This window comes from Homo sapiens, chromosome 1 (genome assembly GCF_000001405.40).
Source record: "Homo sapiens chromosome 1, GRCh38.p14 Primary Assembly".
In the NCBI taxonomy this organism is placed as follows: Eukaryota; Metazoa; Chordata; class Mammalia; order Primates; family Hominidae; genus Homo; species Homo sapiens.
In genome coordinates, this window is record NC_000001.11 from 245,000,778 (window position 1) to 245,021,749 (window position 20,972).

The window sequence follows — 20,972 nt, forward strand, 5'->3', positions numbered from 1 at the left end:
CTCAAAAAAAAAAAAAAATGTGTCTTCAGTGTCTAATACCTAAGAGGTGCTCAATAAATATTATTGAATGAATGAAGAGGGGTAAGCACAGGGTACTGTGGAATCATAGAGGATAGGTACTTGGCCCTCCCCTAGGAGGGAAGGAAGATTGGGCTTATGTCAGTGGAGGCTTGGTGGAGGAGACTGCAGCAGCCAGCAGGGGAAAAAAAATCAGGGGAAAGTACCAGGCAGAGAGAGGGGCATGAACAAAAGTTGAGAATGGTGAGGAGGTGGAGATGGTTTGAACAGTTAGGTGTTAAATAGAGTTATTAACAGTTAACATCTATTGAGTTTACATACATACATAGTATATGTTTATGTATACTTGTTAAGTACTTTACATATATTTTCTCATTTAATACTTACAGTATTCTTTGATTAAGGTATTATTCCCATTTTAGAATAGAAAAATCTCTGCAATACGTAGGGAAAATAGTTAACTTGCCCAAGACCATTTAGCCTATAAAGGATCAAGGAGGGATTTGTTTTGGGGTCTTTCTGGATGCAAAACCTGGTGCTCTTTATAAATGCCATGTTATACTAATACAGTGTGGTTCCCAAACTTGGTGGCTCATCAGAGTCCCCTGAGGACCTTTGTAAAAATACAAATTCCTGGCCATACCCCAGACCTGTTGAGTCAGAGTTTCCAGGGGCAGAGCTTATAGATCTATATTTTTGGGTGGTTCACATGTAACTGGCCTGGGACTGGTTCTCTCACCCTGGGGAGTTATTGCAGGTGGTGTCAAGAGCAAGGCAGGAATAGCTGACTAGCCAGGGAGGTTTTCCTGTGTCTTGCTCCTGATCCTTGACTTTACCCCGTAGATGGTGGGGCACTGAAGCTGAGAAGTGTCATCAGATACACATATTGTGCCCACCACTTTAGCAACAGTGTGAAGGATGAAGTTGAAGGCACAGGTTACAGGCAATAAGAACTTACATCTTTAGACTGCTGTCTTGACTGAGTTCGTCCTTTTTCCTCACATTCTCAAGTTTTCTAAATTTTTTTTCTCTTGGTTCTGCCAACCCTTCAGTTCTCTTTTCCCTAGCTAATTTCTTGAAAGAAATAGTTATACTCAATGTTAGGTTTCAGTCAGTTCAAGAAATGTTCCTTACTGACTTACTCTTCTTTGAGGTCATCTTCCATCAATAAATGTTTATTGAATGTTATTTGAAAGCATGGTCCTTTCTCAGATTTTGCTTTGAAGTGAAAATACCAGGGATGATTTATTTTTTCATCACGTAATCACTCATATGACAATTTTTATTGATCACCAAGTACTCTTCATGTGTCTCCTTTATGCTAGGGCCTGGGATACAACAGTGATGAGATAAGGCCTCGGACTTTACTGATCGAACATCTAATGGAAGGTGGAAGAAGAGACCATCACACAATGACGGTGTTATGGGGAACACAGGGTACAGTGCATTCATACCTCCTCCCCATCACTGTGTCAATCGCTTAACCATCTCTCTGCCTCCAGCCTTGCTTCCTTCCAGTTAAGTTATCCTCATTGATTATACATCTAGCCAGATACTCCCTACTCTATAAATCTTCATTTGATAGCTATTGTCCTTAAAATAAAATCCAAACTCCTTCAATGTGTCTTACTAAAAAAACTTGAGCCTATCCCCACCTTGCGTACTCTCATTCTGTTTCATTATAGGGAAGTTAAGGAGCAAGAATTTGAACTTTTCCTTATGTTTCTTTAGTTTCTTTTCTTTCTTTCCAACATGTTCTTGTTCTGTTGCCCGAGCTGAAGTACAGTGGTGTGATCTCGGCTCACTTTGACTTCCCAGGCTCAAGCCATCCTCCTGCCTCAGTTTCCTGAGTAGCTGGGACTACAGGTGCACACCAGCACGCCCAGCTAATTTTTGTGTTTTTTTGTAGAGATAGGGTTTTGCCATGTTGCTCAGGCCTTAGTTTCTTTTCTGGAAGATTTTTTTTTTTTTTTAGTATTTTGAATTATTTTTAAGTAAGAGAAAAAAAAATCAACCTTGTTAATATAAAGGGTAATCACTTAAAAAGCACACCTAAGAATTAGTATCTCAAATTGTTGTGTAGCCGCCACCACCATCCAACTTCAGAACCTTTTTGTCACCCCAAACTAAAGCTCTGTGCCCATTAATCAATAACTTCACATCTCCCCCTCCTGGAAACTACCGTTCTGCTTTCTGCCTTAATGAGTTTGAGCACTCTAGGTACTTCAGATAAGTGGAGTCATACAATAATTTGTCTTGTGTCTGACTTATTTCACTTAGTATAATGTCTTCAAGGTTCATCTACCCTATAAGAATGTGTCAGAATTTCCTTCCTTTTCAAGGCTAAGTAATATACCATTGTATGTGTATGCCGCATTTTGTTTATCCATCTGTTGATGGACATTTGGGCTGTTTCCACCTTCTGTCTATTGTGAATAATGCTACTGTGAACACTGGTGTGTAAGTATCTGTTCGAGTTCCCACTTACAATACTTTTAGTTATTTACTCAGAAGTGGAATTGCTAGATCATATGGTAATTTGATGTGTAACTTTATGAGGAACTACGATACTGGTTTCCAAAGAAGATACTATTATTATCACCATGTGGCAAGTGGGGAGACTTGGGCACAGAGAGGTTAAGTAACTTGCCCAAGGTCTCACAGCTAGTACATGGTAAAGCCAATGGTGGCTGGCTCCAGGTCAGTGCTCTTAACCAGCAATATATACATACTTACTGGCCTCTTTTGTAATCTCTGTTATAATTATGTTTTCCTATTTGGGGAAGATTGACATCATTTGGAGGTTTTTTTTGAGATGGGGTTTTGCTCTGTTGAGCAGGCTAGGGTGCAGTGGTGGAATTATGGCTTACTGCAGCCTTGACCTCCTGGGCTCAAGTGATCCTTCCACCTCAGCCTCCCAAGTGGCTGGGACTACAGGCATGTGCCACCATGCCCAGCTAAATTTAAATTTTAGAATTTTAACTTTTTTGTAGAGACAGGATCTCACTATGTTGCCCAGGCTAGTCTTGAACTCCTGGCCTCAAGCAATCCTCCCCCCTCAGCCTCCCAAAATGCTGGGATTACAGGTGTGAACTACCGCCTGTTTTGTTTTGTTTTTAGAGGCAGGGTCTCCCTATGTTGTCAGGCTAGACTTGAACTCCTGGGCCCAAGCTATTAGCTTGCTGAGTAGCTGGGACAATAGGCATGTGCCACCTTCGAGTTTTGAGAATTGGACTAAATCAAACAATATTTTACTCGTAGAGTATTTCCTTCTTGGATTGATTTTTTTGTTTGTTTGTTTCTGAGATGGGGTCTTACTGTGTGGCCCTGGCTAGTCTCAAACTCCTGGGCTTAAGTGATCCTCCTGCCTTAGCCTCTGGAGCAGCTGGGACTATAGGTGTGAGCCATGGTACCCAGCTTTGGATTGATTTTTTTTTTACATGACAAAATTGTTATAGTTCTCACTCTTAAATATTTTTTAGAATAGTTCTAGATGAGTATACAGGAAACTCTTTAGGAATTTGTATTCTACAAAACAAAATGAAAAACAAAAGTATACTGACACAGTGTATCAGTAACAAATAGCCTGACTCTCAAAGTACTCTCATTACAAAACTTAGAATGATACTTTTTTTTTTTTTTTAAAGGTGGTATGTTACCCAGTCTCAAACTCCTGGGCTCAAGTGATCTTCCCACCTCAGCCTCCTGAGTAGCGGGGACTATAGGCATGTACCACCACACTCAGTGAATTATATGTTTTAAAAGGATATTTTGTATATTGGCCATTTCTCTAACATTTCCCAAAACTGCATGCTTTTGGCATCTGTGCTATAAACTTAGACCAAAGTAGCTTCAGAAATACAGTAGAAGCTCCCCTTAACGTGTGTGCCAGATTAACATAAAACAGACATTTCCTTTCTAAGACATGCTTATTCTAAGGGCACGCAGAATACCTTTTGCCATTCATTAAGTATGATGTTAGTTGTGAGTTTTTCATAAATACCTTTTATCCTGATGAGGAAGTTCACTTCTATTCCTAGTTTTCTTTTAAACAATAACCTTAAGAAGTATTTTTTAATTGACACATAATAATTGTACATATTTATGGAGCACAGTGTGACATTTTGATATGTACACATAATGTGCTATGATCAAATCACTATTCCTAGTTTTCCGAGTGTTTTTATAATGAAAAGATGTTATGTATTGTCAAATACTTGTTCTGTGTCTATTGAGATGACATGGTTTTTTTGCTCCTCTTCGTTCTATTAATGTGGTGTATTATGGTGATTGGTTTTCATATGTTCATTCTCGGGAGAAATCCCATTTGGTCATAGTGGATAATCCCCCATAAAGTGGCTGGATTATGTTTTCAAGTGTTTTGTTGAGGATTTTGCATTTATATTTATAATGGATGTTGGTTTGTAGTTTTCTTCTTATGTCTCAGTTTTGTTTTTTTTTTAAATCATGTTAATACTGGCCTTATAGAATGAGTTGGGCAGTGCTTCCGTCTCTTCAATTTTTGGGAAGATTTTGTGAAGGATTGGTAGATTGGTATTAATTTTTTTTTTTTTAGACGGAGCCTCACTCTGTCACCCAGGCTGGAGTGTGGTGGTGTGATCTCGGCTCACTGTAACCTCTGCCTCCCAGGTTCAAGTTTTTCTCATGCCTCAGCCTCCTGAGTAGCTGGGATTACAGGCGCACACCACCACACCTGGCTAATTTTTGTTAGAGACGGGATTTCAACGTGTTGGTCAGGCTGGCCTTGAACTCCTGGCCTTGAGTGATCTGCCTGCCTCGGCCTCCCAAAGTGCTGGGATTACAGGCGTGAGCCACTGGCACCCGGCCTTATTGAGTTTTTAGTAGGTTTACAGGTACTATCAGAGTTATTCTCAAGGTGTTTACAGTATGGAAAGTGAGACAAATAAGTAAACTGCTAATTATAATATGGTTTGATAGACTATTATGATAGAGATAGCATGTATGCTACATGATTACATAGGAGGGTACTTAACAAAAAAGAGAAGGGAAGCCTTCAAAAGGTCAGTTACTCTTAAACGTGAGTGACGAATGGGAGATAGCCAGGAAGGAGGAGAGCAATATTCCAGGCAGGAGTGTCCGTCACAAAGGCGGAGGGCAATATTCCAGGCAGGAGTGTCCATCACAAAGGCACTGGGAAAAAGCATTATCACTGGGACACTACAGAGACTTCCTGCCTAGTGCATCTGTGTGGAAAAGTGTGAAGAGATCACATTTTTGAGATAGGTAGGAGCCTAAGTTCATAAAGGGCTTTGTGCGCCTGGTTAAGGAGTCTGAATGTTAGTTTGAAAGGCCTTGCGAACCATTGGAGGATTTTAAACCAGACGGTCAAATTACTAAATTTGCATTTTAGATCATCCTAGCAAAATGTGGATTATGGTTTGATGGGTGGAATGGGAAGTGAGAGAAAGGAGACTAAAGGCAAAAAGGCAGGAAGTGACTACATTAATTTAGCTGGAAGTGATGAGTGTTTATTTATTTATTTATTTATTTTTGAGACAGAGTCTCGCTCTGCCTCCCAGCCTGGAGTGCAATGGTGCGATCTCCACTTACTGCAACCTCCACCTCCCATGTTCAAGTGATCCTCCTGCCTCAGCCTGTGATTACAGGCGCATGCCACCACACCCAGCTAATTTTTTTTTGTATTTTTAGTAGAGGTGGGGTTTTATCATGTTGGCCAGGCTGGTTTCAAACTCCTGATGTCAAGTGATCCACCCACCTAGGCCTCCCAAAGTGCTGGGATTGTAGTCTAATCGTAAGCAATGACAATGGAAATGGAAGGGAAAGAACAGAGTTCAGAAGGGTTTATAAGTAGATGGCCGGGTGCACTGGCTCACGCCTGTAATCCCAGCACTTTGGGAGGCTGAGATGTGTGGATTGCTTGAGCTCAGAAGTTTGAGACCAGCCTGGGCAGCATGGCAAAAACCTGTCTCTACTAAAAACACAAAAATTAGCTGGGCATGGTGGCACAGGCCTGCAGTCCTAGCTACTTGGGGAGCTAAGGTGGGAGGATCGCTTGAACCCAGGAGGTGGAGGTTGCAGTGATCTGGGATTGCGCCAGTGAATTCCAGCCTGGGCAACAGAGCAAGACTCTGTCTCAAAAACAAACAAACAACAACAACAACAACAACAACAAAAAACCCCAGAAAGGTTGAAAGGTGTTGATGATCAAATAGAATTAGGAAGATGAATTTGTTAGAATGAGAAATTTGGAGGACTGTGATCAGGGAATCAGTAGAAGATAGCAGTGAGAAGGAATAGTAGATTATGTGTCCTCAAGTGATGAACCTTAATAGAGTAGTAGTTTTTAATATGAAGTTGAAACAAGGATGCTCCCAGACAAGTCCAGGTTGTGGGCCATTCTGTATGATGCTATAAAGCCTGGTCTCTTCAACAAGCTAATTTCATGTGTGTGGGGAGGGGTGGGGAAGGATGGAGGACTGTTTTAGTTTCAAAGAGAACAAAATAATATGTAACAGCCAAATGCAGTACATAATCTTTGATTGGATTTTAGTATGAAAAAAATACCTATGAGACATTTAGGGACAGATGGAGACATTTGAATATGGAATAGATATTAGATGATCTTAGTGAATTTTTGTTAATTTTTAAAGATGTCATAATAGCATTGGGATTATGCAGGAGAATGTCTTTATTTTTAGGAGATATGCTGAAGTATTTAGGGATGAATTATTCTGATGTCTGCAATTGACTTAGAGACAGACAGACATGGAAAGAGGAATCAAAAAATGGCAAAATATTAACAATAGTTTAGGCGGTGGGTATAGAGTTGCTTGTAACACTAAGCTTTCAACTTTTCTGTGTGTTTGAAAATTTCCTTCATTAGAGAAGCTGGCAAAAAATATGGCAGATTAGGAGTATGGGGCTATGAGTAGCAATGGGGAGCTCTCTATTGCTAACCTTCCCCAAGTCCCTGAGATAGGTAAGCCACGGGAGAATGAGCAGCCAGTTCTGAAAGGGACTTCAAGATGGGTAATGACTTTGGGGTAGTGCTTCTCAGCTTTTATCACTTTAAAACCTAAACATTGGCCAGGCTCAGTGGCTCACGTGTGTAATCCCAGGACTTTGAGAGGCCAACGTGGGAGGATTGCTTGAGGCCAGGAGTTCAAAACCAGCCTGGTCAGCACAGAGTGACCTTGTCTCTACAAATGAAAACAAAAATTAAAAAAAATTAGCCAGGCATGGTGGTCTGTGCCTGTAGTTCCAGCTACTCAGGTGGCTGAGGCGGGAGGATTGCGTGAGCCTGGGAGTTTGATGCTACAGTGAGCCATGGTCTCACCACAGCACTTCAGCCTGGGACAGAGCACGACTCTGTCTCAAAAACAAAGAAACAAACAAAAACCCTGAGCATGGAAAATAATATTTGTGTGGCACACAATATCTGGTAAAACTAGATGAGCTTTGGGACTCTACATGAGGCTTGATTATTAAAAAAATCATTATGTTAAAAAATTTTGTTATGTATTTCATTATGTAAAAAAATTTATAAGAAAATAAAACAGAGCATTAGGAAATTTTAAAATGATGACCCTTTTTTAAAAGTTCCAAATGTATTTAAAATGTTAAAGGTGGAACTTGAGCTTGCTTCCCAACGTGTTACTTTTTAATATCAAACTTTTTGCTTGAAATAGTTGTACTCAATTCCTGATTTTAAAAAATCTTTAATATGAGCTCTTCAATTTTTGATCATTTACTACCAATGAGTAACTGTTCATGCAGAAATGTAAAAGCATTTTTCCCAACCATTAAAAAATCAAAATATGAACTAGGCCCCTACCTATCTCAAAAATGTGATCTCTTAACATGTTCTCACACTTTTTTTTTTTTTTTTTTAAATTTTCAGAGCAAGATCCTTCAGGCTGCAGTGCAGTGGTGCTATCATAGCTCACTGCAACCTTGAACTCCTGGGCTTAAGGGATCCTCCCATGTCAGCCTCCCGAGTAGTTGGGACTATAAGCATGTGCCACCATGCCTGGCTAATTGCTTTTTAAAAAATTTTGTGTGTGTGTGTATGTAGAAGTGAGGTCTCGCTATGTTGCTTAGGCTGGCCCCAAACTCCTGGGCTCAAGCAGTGCCCCCAGCCTGGCCTCTCAAAGTGCTAGGATTAGAGGCATGAGTCACTGCACCTGGCCCTCGCACAAATTTTTGTAGTTTCCCAAGGATTATGCTTTTCTTTTTTTTTTTTTTTTTTTTTTTTTGAGACTGAGTCTCGCTCTGTCACCCGGGCTGGAGTGCAGTGGCACCACCTCAGCTCACTGCAACCTCCACCTCCCAAGTTCAAGTGATTCTCCTGCCTCAGCCTCCTGAGTAGCTGGGATTACAGGCTCGCACCACCACGCCCGGCTAATTTGTATTTTTAGTAGAGACAGGGGTTTCACCATGTTGGTCAGGCTGGTCTCGAACTCCTGACCTTGTGATCCGCCTGCCTCGGCCTCCCAAAGTGCTGGGATTACAGGCATAAGCCACTGTGCCCGGCTGGATTGTGCTTTTTCACTGTGCCTTTGTCAGTGATACTCCTGCCTGGAATATTTCAAACCAGTTGAAATTATATCATCTAAAAACTTCTCCTTTAATTAACCAATATAACTTGGAAAATTTTCTAATAATCCAAACGATTTTTTTTTTTTTTTGAGTTGGAGTCTCGCTCTGTCACCCAGGCTGGAGTGCGGTGGCACGATCTCTGCTCACTGCAAGCTCTGTCTCCTGGGTTTACACCATTCTCCTGCCTCAGCCTCCCAAGTAGCTGGGACTACAGGCGCCCGCCATCATGCCCGGCTAATTTTTTGTACATTTAGTAGAGATGGGGTTTCACCTTGTTAGCCAGGATGGTCTCGATCTCCTGACCTCCTGATCCACCCTCCTCGGCCTCCCAAAGTGCTGGGATTACAGGCGTGAGCCACTGCGCCCAGCCCCCCAAATGATTTTTTAATCCAGTTGAACTGTCTCATATCAATTATTTCAAAGTAATGAAGATTTAATTTATATATGATGCATGTGTTTTTTGTTTGTTTGTTTTTGAGATGGAGTCTCTCTCTGTTGCCCAGGCTGGAGTGCAGTGGCACAATCTTGGCTCAGGCTCGCTGCAACCTCTGCCTCCCAGGTTCAAGTGATTCTCCTGCCTCAGCTTCCTAAGTAGCCGGGACTACAGGCGTGCGCCACCACGTCCAGCTAATTTTGGTATTTTTAGTAGAGACAGGGTTTCACCATGTTGGCCAGGCTGGTCTCACACTTCTGACCTCAAGTGATCTGGCCACCTCGGCCTCCCAAAGTGCTGGGATTACAAGCATGAGCCACCGCTCCCGACCTCTCATGCATGTGTGTTTAGGGCCGCACAACAAGCTTGGCTGCTACTGAAAGGACATATCAGTTACGGAGGCATGGAAGTAGCCCATAGTATGTGAAGATAAAGATTTGGGACTGCTTCCTAGAGCCATGAGCCCTGTCAGTTTGAAGTAGTTGCACACTGGAATGAACACTATGCTCTTTGGGCACCTGGAACAGAAACTTCTCCAGGAGCTCTCTACTGGGTAATGGTGCATTCTGTATCTGGCCTCTGAAGGAGAAGACCACATGATATGTCACACACTTGGCAATGGGGAGCAGTGGGTGCCTGATGGCATTTGTTGTGGTTGTCGCTGTGCAGAACAGGAGGCCTGCCATCGGAGCCTGTCGTGCCCTGGTCCCCCTGTGGGAAGCTCTGGAATAGACTGCTTTCTGGGGCCTGACTTCATCTGGCCACACTGAGAGATGAGAGATAAGAGGATCAGTATTTTGGGGTACCCCTTTAATCCATCCACTTTACAGGCTGAGTATCCCTTTTTCTTTCTTTTTTTTTTTTTTTTTTGAGACGGAGTCTCACTCTGTTGCCCAGGCTGGAGTGCAGTGGTGCGATCTCGGCTCACTGCAAGCTCTGCCTTCCGGGTTCACGCCATTCTCCTGCCTCAGCCTCCCCAGTAGCTGGGACTACAGGCACCCGCCACCACACCTGGGTAATTTTTTGCATTTTTAGTAGAGATGAGGTTTCACCGTGTTAGCCAGGATGGTCTCGATCTTCTAACCTCTTGATCTGCCTGCCTCGGCCTCCCAAAGTGCTGGGATTACAGGTGTGAGCCACCGCGCCCAGCCTTGAGTATCCCTTTTTCAAAATACTTGGTACCAGAAGTATTTTGGATTTCTAATTTTTTTGGATTTTGAAATCTTTGCATATACATAATGAGATATCTTGGGAAAGGGATTCAAGTCTAAACACGAAACTCATTTATGTTTCATATAAACCCTATAGACATAGCCTGAAGGTAATTTTATGTAGTATTTTAAATAATTTGTAGATGAAACAAAGTTTCTCTACATAGAACCATCAGAAAGCAAAAATATCACTATGTCAGCCACCCATGAGGACAAGCTGGTTGTTTGGCATCAGCATCATTCCTGACCCTAAATTGATAGGAATTGATATTGATAAGCAATCATCTTCTTACATTTATTCACACGGAAGTACTTACCAGTAAAAAATATGAAGTACCATTCATGAAGTGAAAAAATAATGTGTTCAAGGTAATGAAGCAGCACAGTGGCATCACCAGAATACCTGTGTCAGCTGTTAGCAACAGCAAACACCGGACTTTCAGTCTCTGCCTGCAATGCTGTGTTTTGATTAGAAGGTTACTGTATACTGTACAGGTTGAGTGACCCTTATCTGAAATGCCTGGGACCTCCAAATGTTTTGGTTTTGGAGCATTTTGGATTTAGCATTTTCAGATTAGGGATGGTTAACTTGTATTGCAATGTCCAGTGGGTAAGGATTCCTGAGTTAGGGTAGTCCTAGATTTCAGTTAAGGCATTAATTATTCCTGATAGATGATAATTTGAAAAAAGAGACTCGATGATCAAGTGACTTTGGGAAATGCTGTGTTGAACAAAGTTAAGTTTCATGATTGTAGAACATTCCAAAGACTTTAATATACTAATACACACTATAAATGACCATATAGAACTACATATAAATATTATATATAAACCATAATATTCAGAGTTTTCCAGACATTTTTGATCACTGAAGCCTTTTATTGAGAAGCTCTGGCTGGGCGCAGTGGCTCATGCCTGTAATCCCAGCACTTTGGGAGGTCACGGGAGGTGGATCACGAGGTCAGGAGTTCAAGAGAAGCACCTTGAGGAATGAGTGTTAAACAGAACACAGTTTAGAAAATATATTGATAAGAAGTTATTAAAAATTCATGCCTTGCAGGCTGTAAATGCACTTTAATCAGAGTGCCATTTGTTTTGTTCAAATGTTTTAAATTATTGGAATGCACACTTTTTAAAATATGCAAATAAAGTTTGGAAACTAAAAAATAAAGTTAGTGCCTGTTCTTTAGAGATGGAAGGATAAAATTATAAATTATAAGTTTTACCTATTTCAAAACAAAAGTCAGCATTATACTTATTGGTAAAAGACTAGTGTTCTAGATTATTAATAATAATAATTATATTTTTATAAAATGGATTATTATCACTTTATGCATTAATGTTGCTTTGGTAGTGCTGGCCAGTGCCATGAGTCATGACAGAGAAATAAGATACAATAAGAAGATAATACAAAAAGTATTATTAGAAAATATAAAATAATCAACTGAAAGATTTTAATTAATACATTTTTCAGGAAATATATAATCAATAGCAAAAATTCAATTTTTACCTCAAACACTTGAAATTACAGGGCTCGAAAAAATATTTCATCACAATATCTACAAAACCCATAAAATACTCAGGCATCATCTTCTTGGAGGATTGTGTGTGACTTACATGACGAACCTCAAAATATGTAATATTTAATTTAGAGATCTATAAGGGATATATATATCTAAATATACACCTCTTAGATGTGAAAACTATTCTAAAATGTTAATTCTCAATGTATAGCTGATTGCAATAGCAATAAAACTTTCAATGGTATTTCATTTGGAATTTCTAAATTGTATATGGATTTCTGTATTTCCTTTGGAATAATAAATTGGTATTGATGAACATTCCTAAAAAGAGGCTAATAGAGTGGCAATAAATAAAATGCTATGGTAATGGCACAAGACTAGAAATGCAAATCAGAATAGAATTAACAGAATGGACAATTGATAGAATTAATCTCAATCACATAAAAGATGATAATACACGATAAAGTGCAAGGAATCAAGCACCTGGTAAAGTAGGAAAAGCTAATCTTTCACTTTGAATCACATCAAAATAAACTTCAGATGAATTACTCAGTGTGTTGTCCAGTGTCAAAAACAAAAAACAAAGAACAAACAAACAAACCACAGTAAATCTATCTGTAAATTGTTGAAGAAAATAGAATTAAGTATTTGCCAGACCTCGAGAAAAAGGGTGATTTTTCTTTGTCTCTCTCTTGGGCCTTTCAAAGGATAAGTTTCTCAACTTTACAGTATGAGAAGAAATCTCAACAGATGTGACTACCTAAAAATAAAGGATAATGTACTTTTAAAATGACCTTAAATTTAAAAACCAAACATCAGCTTTGTGCAGTGGCAGTGTCGTAACCAGAGAGATTTTCCCAAGATACTGTTATGGCTAATAAGAACCTTGCTAGTTCAACTGTGTTCAACTCGTTGAATTTCAGTGAGATAAGGCAAATATACAAAGGTGAATTGGGCAGGATTGTTCAATAAAGAATTGATTATTGATTATAATAATGAAAAATCAGAAACTAAACATCCACAATTGGAGGGTTGATTAAATACATTTTGATAAAGCTCTATAATGGAATATCAGGCAGTCACTAAAAATAATAAGGTAATGAATATTTATTGAGAATGAAAGATCCAATTTATTGCTGAGTGAGAAATTAGATTAGAGAACAACATTAAAAGTAGTTAACTCTGGGCCGGGCGCAGAGGCTCACACCTGTAATCCCAGCACTTTGGGAGGCTGAGGCAGTTGGATCATTTGAGGTCAGGAGTTTGAGACCAGTCTGACCAATATGGTGAAACCCCGTCTCTACTAAAAATACGAAAGTGAGCTTGGCGGTAGTGGTGCACACCTGTAATCCCAGCTACTCCAGAGACTGAGGCAGGAAAATCTCTTGAGCCTGGGAGGTGGAGGTTGTGGTGAGTCGAGATCATGCCACTGCACTCCAGCCTGGGCGACATGGCAAGACTCCATCTCAAAAAAAAAAAAAAAAAAGACAAAAAAAAAGAAAAAAAGAAAAGAGTAGTTAACTCTGGGTAGAATTTGAAGTGATTTTAACTTAAACTTTCATCTGTGTCTTTTTCCTCCAGTAATTGTGTATGATTTTGATCATCAGAAAGGAAATGGAGCTGTTTTCATTTTAGAAAAACAAGTTCAAACAACTGACCTGGAAAATTGTTTGCAGTAACTTCGACATAGGGTTAAGTCTTTATTATTCAAACAGGTCATGCAAATTGTAAAGAAATAATTGAAGATCCCAGTAGGGTTGAGCAGAGAACATGAATAGACAATTCATAACATAGAAAACAGAGATGGTAAACAAACATATGGATCATTATTCAGATTCATTTGTAATCAAAGCAGTGTAAATTTAAATAATGAGGTAATATTTATTTGTTGTTAAATTAGCAAAAGTTTATTGCTGTGTTATAATAAAGAAAAAATAATATCAATAAATTATGGTGTATTATTTTGGTACCATTAAAAATGGAAGGTTGTGTAAATTATGTTGCAACCTGGAAAAATATAACATTTACGTGAAGTAATTAAGGAGTTAAGATTTTATACTGTAAGTACTAACAGGTGGGATGGGGTGGAGTGAGGTGAGGTGGGGTGGGGTGTGGGGGGAGAAGAGCAGGATTGTTCAAATGAGGAAGATCTGAGTTCAGTCCAGCTCTGCCACTCAATAACTCTGTGATCTTGGGCAAGGTGCTTAGCCTCTCTGAGCTTTGGTTTCTTTTTTTCTCTACGGTTGTAAAAGTATATACAGTACCTGACGTAGAACCTGGTGTATAGTGTTTATTCAGTACATATTTGTTGAGTGAGTGAATGGTAGTTATTCAATGCCATATATAAAAGAATATGTATGAAGAAAGATTGGAAGAAAATACAGCAAAATGATGAGTAGTTATGTTAGGGGGAAGAGAATTTGACTGATTTTAAAATTTCCTATTTTCTACTATTGGGTGGTATTATATTTCTAATTGAAATAATTACCTAAACTCATGCCTAATCTCTTTCTTTCTGGGTGTCCTACTGTATTTACTGTTTGATACATTTTGACACCTTTTTCTTTTCTTTGAGACAAGGTCTGGTTCTGTCGCCAGGCTGGCGTGCAGTAGTGTGATCATGGCTCACTGCAGCCTCGACCTGCTGACCTCAAGCAATCCTCCTGCCTGGGCCTACCAAACTGCTATAGGCATGAGCTCCCATGCTTAGCACAATTTAGAGACTTAATTACATTATTGTCCTTTATTCTTTCACTCAGCCAAACACCTTGGAGTTGGCCTTAACCCTTTTCTTTCTCTCTGCACCTAACATAAAATTTATCAGCAAATCTTGTTGGCTCTGCTCTTTAGAATATATCCAGAATCTGCCGGGCGCGGTGGCTCACGCCTGTAATCCCAGCACTTTGGGAGGCTGAGGCGGGTGGATAATGAGGTTAGGAGATCGAGACCATCCTGGCCAACATGGTGAAACCTTGTCTCTACTAAAAATACAAAAAATTAGCTGGGCATGGTGGTGTGCGCCTGTAGTCCCAGCTACTCAGGAGGCAGAGGCAAGAGAATCGCTTGAACCCGGGAGGTGGAGGTTGCAGTGAGCCGAGATCAAGCCACTGCACTCCAACCTGGGCAACAGAGAGAGACTCTGTCTCAAAAAAAAAAAAAAAAGAAAGAAAGAATATATCCAGAATGCTGACATTTCTCACCACCTTCACTGCTACCATTCTGGCCCACATCTCTCACCTGGAGTATTGCAGAGGCCTCCTGACTGGTCTCTCTGCTTCCACCCTTTTCATAATAGCCAAAGTGATCAGCAGACCGCATCACTGTGCTGCCTGGAAAAACCCTTCAGCGGCTTCTCATCTCATTCAGAGTAAAAGCCGAAATCCTTAAAGTAGCCTACAGGGCTTTTTTTTTTTTTTTTTTTTTTTTTGAGATGGAGTTTTGTTCTTGTTGCCCAGGCTGGAGTGCAATGGTGCAATGGCGCAATCTCGGCTCACTGCAACCTCCGCCTCCCAGGTTCAAGCAATTCTCCTGCCTCAGCCTCCCAACTTGCTGGGATTACAGTTATGCGCCACCATGCCTGGCTAATTTTGTATTTTTAGTAGAGACAGGGTTTCACCCTGTTGGCCAGGCTGGTCTCAAACTCCTGACCTCAGGTGAACCACCCTCCTCGGCCTCCCGAAGTGCTGGGAATACAGGTGTGAGCCACCGCACCTAGCCAAGGCCTCTTTACAATCACCCTCAAACTCATACCTTTCTGATCTTATTTCTTACTCTTCTGCACTTACTGTTCTCTCTGCCTGAAAACTCTGCAGTTGTTCATAAGGCTGGTTCCTTCCCCTCCTTCAGGTGTCTGCCCAAGGGTCGCCTTACCACAGAGGCAGGCCTCTCTAAGACCACCGTATCAACCCATTCTCCCCCACCCACGCCCAGCACTCCTCGTGTCCCTACCCTGTTTATTCCTTCCTCTATTTCTCACACCATTTGCCTTACTATGTATTTTATCGAATATTACGAGCTTATATTTCTTTCCCAATAAAAGTAGCTCTATGGAGGCAGGAATTTTTTTCTATTTTGTTCCTTGCCATAACCTTAGCACATTGTAAGTACTAGGTAACTGTTTACTGAATATATATATGAGTGTTTCATATATGTAAGTCATAGTCCAAAACTAGTTTGAAAGCTTTTTGAGTAAATGTCATGTTGGTTTTTATGCCTTTCTTCCCCCAACTCCACAAGCAAAGAATAAGGCAAGGTAGGCAGGGAACACTGTTGATAAGCAAACAGTATCTGTTTTTATTGGTTTCACTGTGCCTCTCAGGCTACGACTCTACCCAAAGGACTTGAGATAGAGAGGCCGCTGCTGGAAATATTCTGTCACCGTGATTGGAGTGGTTGAGTGGTTCCATGAGTATATGCGTATGTAAACACTTAATTAAGCTGTGTATTTAAGATCAGTGCACCTTTACCATATGTATATTTTGCCTCAGAAAAAATGTTTACAAATACAGTGTATCCTTTGACATCTCCAGAGGAAGTTAAACATGCTAAATGATACATAAATATAAGGAGAGGGTTCTTCATATGCTTACTTATTAAGATTGCTAGTCTGGTTATTAGAATTTTTGTTTTGAATTCAAAGCTAAAGTAAACTAATTTTTATTTACTTTGTCTTTTGCAGAGATAATAGTAGCAGAATTTCACAAAAAAATCAAAGAGGCATTTGAAGTCTTTGACCATGAGTCGAATAATACAGTGGATGTGAGGTGTGGAAATATTTTTTTTTTTGTTACACTTTTAAATTACTGATACAAGTCATAAGATACAAGAGAGCTATTTTCTCTTTTTACACTGTACCTTGGATTTATTATGCTCTTTTAAGTATTTATTTTCCATGCTCCGTAAAAGGTCTTTGCTAGCTATTGCTTTGATAAGTACTGTTTCTTATTCTTCATACTCTGGTAGAAACAATATACTGTATTCTCATTGCCTGTTCCAACCTATAATTGTAAACTCTGTGACTGAGATGAACTCTATTTTAGCTTTAGTGCTTGGCACATAGTTGGTACTCAGGAAATAGTCGTTGAGTGAAGGAACAGCATTTGCTTTGTAAAACACATAAATATGTATTATAAGGCCACAAATAGGATATTGCAAGGAAACAGTAATGCTTATGCGATGACACACTCCCCCTGTAAAATAGCAAAAAGAACCCAAACAGAAGAACATAAAAAGGCAAGAGAAGACATGAATACTGGTAGGTCTGAAATGGAGGACACAGCTTGGGACTGAAACAAAACAAACAAAAAACCCCTTAAGAGAAGAGATTAGACGCTAATAAGAATTGTAGGGTTTGTGCCACACACATCAAAGAAAAGCAATGAAGCCAGGCGTGGTGGCTGACACCTGTAATCCAAGTACTTTGGGAGGTCAAGGTGGACAGATCACCTAAGGTCAGGAGTTCAGGACCAGCCTGACCAACATGGTGAAACTCTGTCTCTACTAAAAATACAAAAACTAGCCGGGCACGATGGCAGGCACCTGTAATCCCAGCTACTTTGGAGGCTGAGGCAGAAGAATCACTTGTACCCGGGAGGCAGAGGTTGCAGTGAGCTGAGATCATGCCACTGCACTCCAGCCTGGGCGACAGAGCGAGACTCTGTCTCAAAAAAAAAAAAAAAAAAAAAGGCAATGAAACCATCCTTTCAGGAGGCCGGGCTAAATGAGGGTTATTTGATGAGATTGCAATCTCAAGACCAGAACCTAGTAGAGAGGCCAGCAAAGCAGTGGGAAGTGGTTTGAAAATGGTTCTGGAAAGGAACTGTTTGATGCTTATAAACCAGTGCCATCAGAGCTGCAGCACCATACAGCTCCGGTGGCTGTGGTCACATTGCATTCTGTGGGAATGACATTGTGGAACACCAGGCCTTCCTGTGGGTATCCCAGTAGGAAATGAGTGGGCAGGGTGCTGGTGGTGGTGGTAGGGTTAGGGAGGGGGTGCAGCAGGCAGCCCGGCCTGCAATTTGAATAACTAACTACATGAATGACAAGTGCCTTGACCTCAGACCTCTCCTTGAAGGGTTCTCCTCCTGGGGGCGGGGGACAGAGGTATTGTTAGAGAAGTCAGGGAAAGTATGGCATTATGAGAGAGAGGGAAAAGAGAGAAAAGAAACCAGCATCTGCTTGAGGCTTGTCATCTAACACACTACGTGTAGTTGGGTGCCAGAGGCTTCACGTGGATTACCTCATTTTAATCTTTTTATTTATGGGTTAAGGGTTGGCATCTCCGGTTTCCAGAGACAAGGAGAAGGTAAATCGTTTGCTCCATGTCACACCAGGTTTCTCTAACGCCAAGTCTCTTGCTACACTGTGGGCATGCCACACTGCCCACACTCCCACTCCTACTCTTTAGAGACATCAGGGGCTTCTCTTCTGCCTTCAGGCTTCCTGACAGTAGCAGTGAAAAGAAAATCTCCCGATCACTGACAGCAATGATGCCAGGCCTTTTTTGGTAAAAGGGCCAATTCAGTAAAAGAAAACGTGTTTATGGGCTGAATCTTTTTTTCCATTGAAAGTTAAAATAACTTTACCGAGGCCCTGAGGGAAAGTGGATGTTCTTACAACCTAAAGAGTCTGCTTTGTTAATTAAAGATGGTTACTAAGAAAATTGTTATTGTTTTTAGCATTAAAATATTGCTGCTGAGTATATTTGAGGAATAACAACATGGATGAATGTAGCTTTATAATTTTTCCTGTGTTAATTTGTATATCACTTTAAAGTTTATAATGAATGTTCTCATGCTGCTGGTATCATTACCATCCACTCTTTTTAAAAAATTCGTTTAAAGATAGGGTCTTACTCTGTCCTCCAGGCTAGATTATAGTGGCTTGATCATAACTCACTGTATGTAACCTTGAACTCCTGAAGTGATCCTCCTGCCTCAGCCTCCCAAGCAGCTAGGACTACCACGCCCAGCTAATTATTATTTCTTGTAGTGACAGGGGTGTTGCTATGTTGCCCAGGCTGGTCTTGAACTCCTGGCCTCAAGTGATAGACCCTCCTTAGCCTCCCAAAGTGTTGGTATTACAGGTGTGAGCCACTGCACTCGGCCACTCTTTATAAATTGGAAATTAAGCTTTGGGAGGCCAAGGTGGGTGGCTCACCTGAGGTCAGGAATTCAAGACCAGCCTGGCCAACATGGTGAAACCTCATCTCTCCTAAAAATAAAAACTAAAAACTAAAAAATAAAAATAATTAGCTGGGCATGGTGGTGTGCACCTGTAGTCCCAGCTGCTTGGGAGGCTGAGGCATTAGAATCTCTTGAACCCAGGAGGTGGAGATTGCAGTGAGCTGAGATTGCACCACTGCACTCCAGCCTGGGCGACTAAGTGAGGCTTTGTCTAAAAATAAAAAAGAAAGAAGTGTCTTTGAACGGAGGGAGAGATATGTAATGGCTCAGTGGGGGCAGGACAGAGAGAGCTGTTCCTGGAGACGCCCCCCGCCCCCAGGCACTGGCTGTTCCTCCCCTAACTGCTTTATCCCTCAGGTGGAGGTTTGGTGTTACTTCCTGTGTAGGGCTGATCTAGGTCCCCTGAGAGGTCTAGGTCTTAGAATTTTGTGGTGGCTACTTTCCCTTTCCCTTATCTCTGCTTTGCACAAATTGAAATATTTGATTTGAAATTGTATTGCATTAGATAAAGGGAAAGTCTGGTATTCCAAATGCTGGGCAGCCACCAGCCCACTGTCAAAAGCATTATGAGCTGGGCTCCTGCTACTGCCCTTCCACCTCTGAGGGGCAGTCCTGAGGTCTGGAATCAGACTTCCTGGGTTCCCATCCCAGCTCCGTGACTGCGAGTCACTTTGTTATTCTCTTTGTGCCTCCATGTACCTTTGCCTCCTAGGTTTCATAGTATAAGTAATTAGTTCTCAGAGTGCCCCCAAGACCCTTTCCGGGGTCTGTGAAGTCATAACTATTTTCATAATAAATTTAAGACAGTATTTGTTCTTTTCATTCTCACTGTTTCCACAAGTATATACTGGAGTTTTTCTTTCTTTTTTTTTTTTTTTTTTTTTTTTTAGACAGGGTCTCGCTCTGTCACCCAGGCTGGAGTGCAATGGTGCAATCTCAGCTCACTGCAACCTCCGCCTTCCGGGTTCAAGCAATTCTCCTGCATCAGCCTCCCAAGTAGCTGGGATTACAGGTGCCCGCCACCACGCCCGGCTAATTTTCGTATTTTTTTTTTTTTTTAGTAGAGACGGGGTTTCACCATGTTGTCCAGGCTGGTCATGAACTCCTGGCCTCAGGTGATCCACCCACCTTGGCCTCCCAAAGTGCTGGGATTACAGGCGTGAGCCACCACACCCAGCCTTATACTGGAGTTTTTCAAAGGCTACATGACGTGCAGTTTTACAACAGATTGAACGCAGAACTAGATATGAGAATGCAGCTGTCCTCTGTGAAGCCAGGTGTTACATATTTACATTGAACGTATGTAAAACAATGTAAAACAATGCCATTCTTCTAAATATACTTTTTGTTTTGGAAAATATAGTTTAAAAAATTAACAACTATTTATGTAAACATTTGGGTTGATTTATGATTTTTAAATGAATTAATAAATACATATTTTTAAAATGTAAGCTTTAATTTCTAATATGATAGTAAATATAGATGCATATAACTCACACAAACATAGACGCTTTGAGCGCCTTGATAATTTTTGATAGTTTGTAAAAGGAGTTATCAGACCAAAAAGTTTGAGAACCACTATTGTGAGTGGACATTTTTAAAGCTCTTAGAACAATATTAGCTTGGGATTTAAAGCTAAGAACAGTATTAGCTATTATAATTATTCTACTTTATATATATATAGTTTTTATTATTATTATTTTGAGATGGCATCTCACTGTGTGGCTCAAGCTGGATTGTAGTGGCCCAATCTCGGCTCATTGTAACCTCTGCCTCCTGAGTTCAAGCAATTCTCCTGCATTGGCCTCCCAAGTAGCTGGGATTACAGGTGCCCACCACCACGCCCATCTAATTTTTGTATTTTTAGTAGAGACAGGGTCTTGCTATGTTGCCCAGGCTGTTCTCAAACTCCTGGCCTCAAGTCATCCGCCTGCCTCAGCCTCCCAAAGTGCTGGGATTACAGACGTGAGCCACTGTGCCTGGCCCCATTTTATGTTCT

General features: G+C 40.8%; 1 protein-coding gene across 22 annotated transcripts in view; it reads left to right on the forward strand.

Moving 5' to 3' along the window:
• Nucleotides 1–20,972, forward strand: part of DRC8 (dynein regulatory complex subunit 8) — a 155,548-nt gene that overhangs the window by 31,096 nt on the left and 103,480 nt on the right. For 12 of the 22 annotated variants that reach the window (XM_017002543.2, XM_017002542.3, XM_011544301.2 and 9 more), the window contains 2 exons: nt 1,344–1,455; nt 16,465–16,549. The exons of 1 other annotated variant lie outside the window; for it this stretch is intronic. In XM_017002543.2, coding sequence (XP_016858032.1) covers nt 1,401–1,455; nt 16,465–16,549 — 140 coding nt within the window. In that variant the 5' untranslated portion in view covers nt 1,344–1,400. Of the gene's footprint in view, nt 1–1,343; nt 1,536–16,104; nt 16,203–16,464; nt 16,550–20,972 lie in introns of those variants that run through there. 9 more of the 22 variants (NM_032328.4, XM_047432067.1, XM_047432068.1 and 6 more) reach the window with 4 other exon arrangements.